Source organism: Homo sapiens, chromosome 4 (assembly GCF_000001405.40).
Source record: "Homo sapiens chromosome 4, GRCh38.p14 Primary Assembly".
Taxonomy (NCBI): domain Eukaryota; kingdom Metazoa; phylum Chordata; class Mammalia; order Primates; family Hominidae; genus Homo; species Homo sapiens.
The window spans coordinates 30,468,788-30,479,973 of NC_000004.12; the positions used below are offsets into that span (position 1 = coordinate 30,468,788).

Here is an 11,186-nt window from a genome sequence, read left to right on the forward strand (position 1 = left end):
TCAGAACATTACTGAGTTCAAAAGAAAATGGTGAGGGCTTATTGTTTTTCAACAGTATAGTCACAAAACCCAAAATGCTCACATTTGAAATCAGGCAGTCTATGATCTGAATTTAGATTCTACCTCTATTCTAATGATGGTGTGACTTTGCCCAAATCACTTAACTAGCTTCAGCTTTGATTCCCTCATCTGTAAAATGAGTAGATTAAAGTACATGAGATTAAATATGTAATGTACTTAGGATGAAGCCTGAAACATAGTAATAAAAATCACTAACAAATACAGACTGCTGACTTGTGCCAAGCAACATTCTAAGGATTTTGTACGTGTTGCCCTGGGAATAGATAAAATTATGATTCTCATTTTACATTTTACAGTTGCAGAAACCTAGACACAGATTAGTTAAATAATTTAGCCAAGGTTACAAAACTAAGAAATAGAAAAATCGGTACTGACTTTAAGGTGCCAGGCAATAAGAACTCAATGATCAGCAAAGAAAACAATCAACAAAATAAAACAGTAACCTATAGAATGAGAGAAAATATTTGTAAATAATATATTTGATAACAGGTTAATATTTAAAATATATAAGGAACTCACACAACTCAATATCAAAACAAAGGAAGACAAAACATGGGCAAAGGATCCAAATAGACATTTCTCAAAAGAAGACATACAAATGAACATCAGGCATATGAAAATGTGCTCAATATCACTAATGATTCGGAAAATGCAAATCAAAACTGCAATAAGGTGTCACCTCACACCTATTAGGATGACTATTATCAAAAAGATGAAAGATAACAGGTGTTGATGAGGGTGTAGAGAAAAGGAAACATGTAAACACTATTTTGGGGAATATAAATTAGTACAGACGTTATGAAAAATCATATAGAGGTAAAGGAAACACTTAAACACTATTTTGGGGAATATAAATTAGTACAGCCATTATGAAAAATCATATAGAGGTTCCTCAAAAAATAGAAATAGAACTATCATATGATCCAGCGATCCCACTTCTGGGCATATATCCAAAGGAATATAGATGTAGATATCTGCACCCACATGGTCAGTGCAGTATTATCCACAATAACCAAGATATGAATAAAACCTAAATGTCCTAAGTGTAGAATACATGTACAATGAAACAATATTCAGCTTTGAAAAATAAAAAAAATTCCTGCCGTTTGTGACAAAATGGGTGAACCTGAAGGACATTATGCTAAGCGAAATAAGCCAGACACAGAAAGACAAATATTGTATAATCTCTCACTTATATGTGAAATACAAAATAGTTGAACTCATAGAAACAGAGTAGAAGGGTAGTTGCCAGAGGGTAGGGGCGGGGAGAGAGGGGAATTTTGATCAGAGGGCACATACTTTCAGTGTATAAAATGAACAAGTTCTATGTATTTAACATACAGCATATGTAGTAATGGAGGTGTTAATTAATTTGATTGTGATAATCATTATACAATGTATATGTATATCATTACACATTGTATATGTATATCGAATCATCACATTTTACCCCTTGAATATATACAATCTTTATATGTCAATTAAATATATTTAAATAACTCAATTACTAGTAGCTATTATCATTTACTTTGTTACACCAAAATAATGTTTTATGAATTAATCACTGAATTATCACATTAAAAATCCATTTCTGACTTCCTTTGTTAGATAACACAATCCTGGGTATACAGAGATGTCAAATCCAGACACCTTTTTTTTAAAATCCCCAACACAGAAACCAATACTTGGCAGTTGTTTGTGAAAATTCTGAAACACAAAGTGGAAAGAGGGAAAAACAAAGTAGATACTAATAATTTCTTTGAATATCTTTGTTTTATTAATCCTCAAGTTCACCACCATCTTTTATTTATAAATGCTAACACTTTCATACCTTTCAAAATGCCACTTTAATTAACACTACTAACACTATTTTCTACTCAGCACAAAGAACTATTTTCCTAATTCTAGCGTCTGAACCCATAAAGACCATTAATTAACTACCCTACAGCCTTCTCTTTTTCAAAGTCTCTAATTCCTCTTACTTCTATCTTTTCTCCAATTCCCATTATAAGGGTATTTAATTAATTTCATGCCATTCCTTTGATTCTTTTCCAAGTCATTTCCAGTTTTCATTATTGGTTATGTTCCAGAAAGGATGGTGAACAATGGAAAAGAATGCCCTTGATGCAGATAACAAAGGGATGATTTCAAGAAGCAAATTTGATTTAATTATTAAAAGATAAAAGCTTCTCTAAACTATAAATATCCTCATCTCCATCTCTGTCACAATGTTTCAAGCTTCAAAGTTTTGACATTTAACAAATATTTATTCGTATACATATCTATTCACTAACATATTACTCAGAGCAGATAGAGATTATTTACTGTATATCTAGCATTGTATTAGATTTGGAGTGACAAAGAAGTAACTGAAGAGATTCTTGACTTTGAGAGAATTAGAAGTCATTGGAAGAAAAAGATGGGTTAAAAACTGTGTTTTGTTTGATAACGTATAAGCCTACATGTCCCCATCTATAATACCCCAAGGGAGTTAATATTTGTTTTCTAATTGCAAATACTCAATGCAAAATAAAGTGAGTTACGAACAAACACCAACAGGAAAAAAATAAAACAACCATCTCAAAGGAGTTCACACTGAATTCATAAAAATGCTTTCTGATCCTCTCTCATAGAGCAGTTTATAGTGATATTGCTGTTCTGTTGATGGTATTTTTTGTTGTCCTATTAAATTGAAGTTTATGGCTATTTTTTTAAAAATCACTCTAATAAATCCTTCTAACCAAATGATATATTTATTTTTTATTATTTGCCTTAATATTTATGATAAACAGGTTTATGACATAAATTTTGATAATTTCATGATATATGAAATTTGTAATTGTTTGCTTTTCTTTTTTGAATTATAAATATTGTGAACAAAACATTATAATTTATATAAATTTGCCAAGCAAAAGTTTTAGCAATTAGAATATCTGGGTATGTTTTTAAAAACAAATAATTTACCTTTATTCTGACTATAAGATAAAATTTTCTCAGTGAGAATAATATAGAAATTATTATTCTATATTGTTATTTTATTATTTTATTATTATTATTAATAATATTATTCTAAATTATTATTTCTATAATATAGAAATTATATTCTATAAAAATATAGAAATTATTATTAAATTTAAATGTAATATAAATTTAAATCCGTATCCCCACCATCTAAAACTAAATTACTGAACTATTTGCATTTTTAATCCAAAAAAAGTCCATGAATGTACCCACACAGTCCCTTTTAAAATATAAATGTGAACGTACTCTGAACACTTTTAAATTAACTTGCTTTTTTCATTAAACGATATATAATTGATATATTTTCATTAATAATGAAATATCAATAGTAAAAATAAAGGCTTTATTATGTAATATCCTATAATACAGATATATGTAATTTATTTCACCAATCCTCAAATGATTTGCAATTAATTTATTTTCAGAGGTTTCCTGTGCATAAATAACACCATGATAAATATTTTCCAAAAGGGCAACTAACTCCTAATAGTATAATTGCTTTTGAAATCATTATTATGCATATTGATAAATTGTTCTCTTAAACAATCATATCAATTTATAGTTAAAACTGTAGGTTTCTTATTGTTCTTTTGTGGGACTAATTAATAACTATTTATGAACAGATATATAGATATATCAGTAGATATAGACACACATGCTTATGTATTCAGGGATTACATATAAAAGTGTTTATTTTAATGAGTAATAAAATCTTCTAGCACCATATTTAATAAGAAATATTTTTTCTTGGTTGATAGTATAAAGTCTACACTAGACAATAGAATAAAATGCATAAGGTATGTGAAGTTATTAAAAATGTGTGTTGCTTTTAAAAACCTGTGTCATACTATTGATCTGAAATTTAAACGAAACATAAGTAAAAATATAAGAATTCCAATGCAAAAATTATTTTATTGTTTGTATATCAAATAACATTCAATAACTCTTTGATGTGTCTTTCAGACGCTCCAATTTTTTAAAAAATCCATTTGTTTTTCTACAGGAAAATGGAAATTAACGTGCCCATCATAAGTTTGCTGTTTGATCTAAAACATAGACACTATTTCAAATCCCTTTTTATCCATATATTTTATATAATTTTACTCATGGTTGCAAGAACACATAGAAAGTCCTTGTAAACAAAAACAAATTCATTAAAGTTGCCAACAGTGTAGGTACTGTTGTTAGGGCAACTGAACTTCTTAAAAATTCATGAGAGAAAAGGATACCACCTTAAGTGATGATTTAAGTAGTCATAGCAACTACTATTTTAAAACCAACTATGGGTGCCCAGTATTTTTTTTCTCCTTCCTGACTTAAGATTTGTAAAATATTGTTGCCCTCTTTCTACAAGTTTTATTTTTATATCTCAAAAATAAAAATTTCAGATGTACCAAGCTGTCTTCAGTAGTTTTTTTTCTTCCGTCAGTAGATAGACATCAGCAAACGTGTGGATAGTGTTGATTGCATTATTTCCTCACAGACTTTGCAACCATTATCTTTGATATCTATCTGAAACTGAAAGGATGCTTTGGAAACATCAGCAACAATAGATATAGTAAAGTATCTTTCAGAAGCTCAAAATGGTTCACAGTTAGATCTTGGTTTTTTAAAAGCTAGATTTATCTCTAGTAATAGCAATTTCATTCTTTGCTTTTCTGAAATTTCTTTTATATTTCTTCTCTTCTTTTTTTCTTTTTTCCAGTTTGGCCTTAAGTAAAATATTTTAGGTCTTCTCTAGGTTTTTATTTCTAGTCTTGAAACAATACAGTGTTAGTTAGTTGCACACTGTATTCTCTCTAGGGAAATCTTAGTCCCATTCCTTACTTCTGACTCATTACATCACTTTAATAAGTGAAGTCCAGGACTAAAGGTATAATTTCAATACTTAAAATGAAAACTTAAAAGGAAGAGGTAAAAAAAAGTTAATTGTCATTTCTTTGTCTCTGGACTTTTGATATCTTCTTTAGCTAGCATTTCACTGGCCTTATCTGCTAAAGCTCTATGCTTTTCAATCTTGGGTCTCCTTCATCCCTCATAGGACCATGAGGAACAGGGTAATTTCTGGGAGAAAAAGAACATGAAGTAGATAAATCAGTGTAAATCTTCTTGGCATTAGGGAGAGGGATTTTCCCATAATGCCCTCTCCGAAGATGTGTATTTGTATATACACTGTAAGTGTAACAGAGTGACTAAGAAGGGCGCTTTTCACACAGAAGCAGATTCCCTTTCTTCCATAGCCTCCTCTTTTTTGCAGGGAGATACGATTTAAGTATTGTAAACAGAAGTTCCCGTGTAGACACTGGACTGTGCCTCAGCAAAGTCATAGGACATAGACATCCCTCTTGTTAGAAAACCACTGGATAATGACATCAAAAGGGGACAAGCAGTATTCGTTGTATACACAGAAGGCTACAGATGGCCTGAGGCATTGACTGGGTCCCTTTCCTGATTCCTAGTAGTAACATCAACTGCAACAGGCACAGTCCACAGCACAGCGCTGTGTCCAGGCGACTGAATATGGTTCCCTAAGACTAAATTTCTCATGTCAGGTCCCAGTGAACTAATTTTGGGTTCCAAAAACTGCTCTATTAAACTCTTTTCCTCTATTTTCCCAGGTAAAGTCATCCTCTCTAGTCTTCTCTGGGGATGAGATAATCTGGATCTTTCTCTATATGATTGCAATGATTGCAGTAGTTTTTTGTGACATGAACTCCATTCTCTACTTCATTGAGGGCTTTGCCTTTTTTTTTTTTTTTTTGAGCCTTTTATTTTCACTCAAAGTTTAATACAAAGCAAATATTTTGGCTTTAAACAATTCTGTGTCTGGAGAGGGATTCAAGAGGCTATTGTAGTAATATCCTCATTCTTCATGATGTAATGCAGATGCCCTCATCTGACAAGGGGAACAGTCACTGACAGGGACATGAGAAAAGAAAACAAATAAATATAATAATTTAAAATATTATCAGTATATTGTCGCTGAGGTGACAGGAGTCAAGAAGCCTCTTTGTTGAGAGAGGTAAGTGCAATCTTTGCAACTGAGTTAATCTAGCTCCATTCATTGAGATGGGATAGCACTGAGTTCAAAGACTTAGATTAGTGCTTTCTTAAACACTTGTTCCTCAGAATATTGATGCAATTTTCAAGTAAAATGAAATTAGATAAAAAGGGAAGGTATTGTTTTATGAACCAATATTTAAGAAACACAATGTTAGCTGGGCTTGGTGGCTCACACCTGTAATCCCAGCACTTTGGGAGGCCCAGGCTGGCAGATCACTAAGGTCAGGACTTCAAGACCTGGCCAACATGGTGAAACCCCATCTCTACTAAAAATACAAAAATTAGCTGGGTGTGTTGGTGGGTGCCTGTGGTCACAGCTACTCAGGAGGCTGAGCCAGGAGAATCGTGTGAACCCAGGAGTCAGAGGTTGCAGTGAGCCGAGCTGAGATCTCACCACTACATTCTACCTTGGGTGATAGAGCGAGACTCCATCTCAAACCAAAACCAAAACCAAACCAAAACAAAAGAAATGCAATGTTAAACAGGCCTTAACACATTCCAGTATCTAAGGACAATTAAGATTTTAATACAATTACATGCAATGTAAATATCCATTTATATTAGAGATTTAATGGGATTTCCCAAATGTATGTTTTCAAAGAACTCTGTTGTTCAGGGTTTGTGCTTCTACTGTAACCACCACTAACTTCATACTTACGTTGAAGAAAATTTAGACATTAGAGAAAAAAAAAAGTCAATTTAAGACATTTTGCTAAAAACTAATAAACGAAGGATCATTTCTAGATCGTTTCTCTCTGCATGTCCCCCTCAGTAATTTGTATTCAAGATCTCCTGGTCAAGGTTACAGAGATGTGGAATTTCTGCCGTCTCTTAATCTCTCTACTTATCCCACCACCAATTACTTAATGCTTATGTGGGAGAAAAATTTTGGTATTATATGGTGATAAACTTGCAACATTGAGTAATTTTAATTGTTATTTAACCTGAGAGTTACATGAAAATTATATAAATAGATGTATAAGTTTAATTTATCTGTCTTGATAAGCTAAACCAAAATCTATAGTCTAGCATATTATAAGCACTATCTGAATAAGCTATACAAAATATTCCATTCTCATTCTCCACCTTCTTAAAGGCAATGGTTTTTCTGTTTAATATGAGTCTTTCATTTGTATGCATTATTGTAAAATGGTTATGTGTATACACACTTTTTTATATATATAATATAATATATGTAATAGATACATAATATCATATCTTAATTCCAATATTGCACTCCTATCTGAAAAGAGTTGCCTGATTTGGACTATCTCTTAAAATATTTTTAAGATTTTCTTATTTCCTCTTTTGTAAATAGCCTATTCTTAACCTTTTCTATTTGTCCATTGAGGCTGATGTATTTTTACCTTTTATTTGAAGGAATAAACTAAAGATTTTAGATATTAACTCTTTCTTGGCTTCAAACATTGCAAATATTTTTTCTTGTTCTTTAATCTACCTATTACCTCTGACCATTATTTTCTTCATTTTGCAAAAATGCTTAATTTTATGAGATAGACTTTAATCATTTTTTGCTTTATGGTATTTGAGAATTTAAAAAATATTTTCACCCCTAGATCACAAAGATATTCTGTAACATTTCTTCTATTAAATAAGCATTTTATCTTTCACCTTATCTTTAATTCATCTAGATTCTACCTTTGTATAAAATATTATATAGTGATTAAAATGAAAAATTTGCACGTGAACCCGGGAGGTGGAGCTTGTAGTGAGCCGAGATCGCACCACTGCACTCCAGCCTGGGTGACAGAGCAAGACTCCAACTAAAAATAAAAAAAATTAAAAATAAAAATTGCATTTAACTAACACTAAGATTCCATTATAAAGTGGTGTTTCTCTCCACACCTTTTTAATTTCATTCATAGCCTTGAGACAATACAGTGTGTTGTATATTTGACACCCAGAGATCATTTTTAAAATCCCTTTCTTTCAAATAATAAAGTTATTTTCTCTAATATACTAATCAAGAGCAATAACAATTTTCTTGATTCATTTATTAATGTAAACAATAATTTTAGAATATAAATCCCAATTTAATGATGTTATTCAAATTTTATAAAATAATTCATAGAAGAACTACAATCTGACTGTCAAACAAAAATACTATACCTCACATTTTGTACTCCATTTCTGCGTTAAAATTGAAACACAAATAAAAACTCCAAATGGTCACATAGAACAACAGAAGTGAAGGACATAATCTTCTGTTTCTTCATCATAACATTCACTGTGATATCACTATTTATTTTGAATTTACTGTTTAAACACAGAATTTGGGATAGCACAGGGACCAGAGACAAGAGTTGTACTGGAAGCACGCATGAAGCATTACAAGTTGTTACTTAGTTTTCAAATAAATGTATGTAACTGGGTCCAAGTGTGTCAGGAGCCAACTCTATAACTGAAGTTTTCCTGAATTAATGTCCATGGATGGCGCAATGTTGATTAGAGTAAGTAATTAAACAGGCTAATTCAATGTTTACATATATATATTAACGTTCACAATAACCAAAGCAATGTTTAAAACTCAGATCACTGATGTTATTTAGAATTGCTGGTACATGGTGATGATGAAAAGCAGGAAAACCTTTAGAGACTTTGACTCTGGTTCAGGAATTCTCTATAGATAATGCACTTACGTGTTTTCGGCCTTTATGATCCATATCCCTTGCCATGCTTTGAAATAAGAACCTAAAGATCTAGTTCCAGCCAAAGTATCCTGTGTATGTTTGCATTGTCTCTAAGTTGGATCACATGTCTCTTGTGGCAGTGTTTGATCAATAGTAATTTCTATCTGTGACTCCAGTAGGAAGCTCCCTACTTCAGGGGACTGTGACATCAGATGATCTGTACATTGGGAAGAGTCAGGGAAAGTGAACACTCCATTCATCTCCTTCTGCACAGTTGAAATATACACCAGCAGTAGTGTCCTTTTGACTCGTGATGATACTGAAGCCTATATTTGTTGCCAAATAAGTTGAAGTGCCCCCTAGAGTTTGATAGGATTTCACAAGTTACAAAGCAACAACCCATCTGCATTGGCCTGGGCATGAACAAGCAAAGGGAGCCCTGTCTAATGGAATGATTAAAAGTTGAAAATGTTATTTTAATTCAATCAATTAAAAGCATAAACAGCAGGGTTTGATTGAATCAATTTAAAGAATTACACAGTAGTCAATGTGATTGTCAGCAGGAGTGAAATATTCATGTATCACCTACACACAGCTTGAAATCTGTATCCTTTAATTCGATATAACAAACAACATTTACCACATCACAGAAAGGTGACTTCTTTTGCGGAAGAAAGAACATTGCTATACTAGAGACATATGCTATTAGTGACAGCAAACACATCTGACATCCAGTTTGAAATATTTAACAAATACCATATCTTGGTTATGAATAATTTTGTATCTTCTATATTACTCCAGGTTTGGTCCTAAGTATGAAAATTTACTTTTCCTTTCCTTTATTACAAAAATCGTTTGAATATTATTGCGATGTAGTCTTAAAATACAATAGTATTAAATGATAAGTGAGTTAAAAGCAATGATGATAATCATGAAATTATTGTGGTAATTATTGTGTGTCTGTATATCACAGTAAGAAGTTACTAAGATAGACATTTACTGCTGCAGCCAAATGAAGCTAATGAAAATAGTGATACACTTTAACTTGCTTAAAAAGTTAATAAATATCCCCAAATTTCTACTGTACTCCCTTTCTATCATTTCTGGAGACTGACTATAATAAAATTGTTTTGAGGAGAATGGATTTTCTATACAATTTCCACCATTGTAATTGAGCCAAAAAAATTGTATGTTGGGGGAGAGAAGGAGGTAAATCATTATAGCAAGTATATTATTATGAAATAAAAAATAAAAATAAATAAATACCATTAACCTGAGTGTTTCCATTTTACCATCATAAAGCTTTACACATTTTGATTCTGAAAATTGTAAGTCTGTGTTCCATTTACCACATCGGGCTCAAAAAGCTTTAGAATTTAGGTATAAATAAAACAAATGTTGGATTCTTCTCTCACTATGTCATCTAAAGGGCATTATTTTAGTCTTCACTCTCATATCTATTCAGAATATTTATGGAAACCAGAGTCCCATAGGCTAGGTTGCCATGAAAGGAGACTGACCTAGAATAAGTGCTTGGCAAATGTTAGAATAGTATCTTCTTGACTTTTGCCTAATTAATTTATGATCATTAATTTGATTATTGTAAATTCACAATAATTTATTCCAAACTCCAGGGCTCTGGATTTTAGAAATTTTAGATTTTAGAAAGGAGATACATACATATACATAAACACACACACATATGTGCATATGTGTATATATATATGTGCATGTGTGTATATATATACACATTCACACCCACACATATACTATGTATATACACTCAGAGAGAGAGAGAGAGAGTGTGTGAACTATAATGCCAATGCCTTATGCAAGGGTAGGGAGTGACACCTTGTAATTAAATGTGATGGTACTTCTGAAATGAGACATGTTAATAGTCATGCCACTTAAAAGGAATGAATTTAGTTTTTGTCACCAAGTAACTTAAAATATATATATATTCTAATTTTGAGAGCTTTTTGGATTCTAGAGGCGTTATCTATATTTATGACATCTCTTTAAGTTACAGCTATTTTACACCTGTTTGAGATAGAGAAAGAAGTCTGCAGGGATTAAGTAACTTACCTATTATAAAATCACAAAGATAAAAAGTAATAAAGCCAGGATACAAGTCTACTCCAACTGACTTCAAAGCCCACATATTTATCCCTTCTCTATCATTCCCTCTGTGTTTACAGTAAACAATTCATATTGTGAAGAGTTTCATTTTATATTCACCAAACATCAGGGTTTTCTAACCCCATGAAGAGGAAATGTTTCACAAGATAAGAAATAAACAATAAAAAGTTTTGCATTGTTTCATACGTTTGTTGGCTACTTGTAATGTCTTCTTTTGAGAAGCGTCTGTTC

General features: G+C 31.6%; 1 annotated feature.

The window, feature by feature from the left end:
* Positions 6,580–6,689: an enhancer, noted in NCBI's record as "active region_21404". NCBI's record gives its function as "activates an Ori minimal core promoter by ATAC-STARR-seq in GM12878 lymphoblastoid cells {active_cell/tissue: GM12878}" and the evidence as "EXISTENCE:reporter gene assay evidence [ECO:0000049][PMID:35858748]".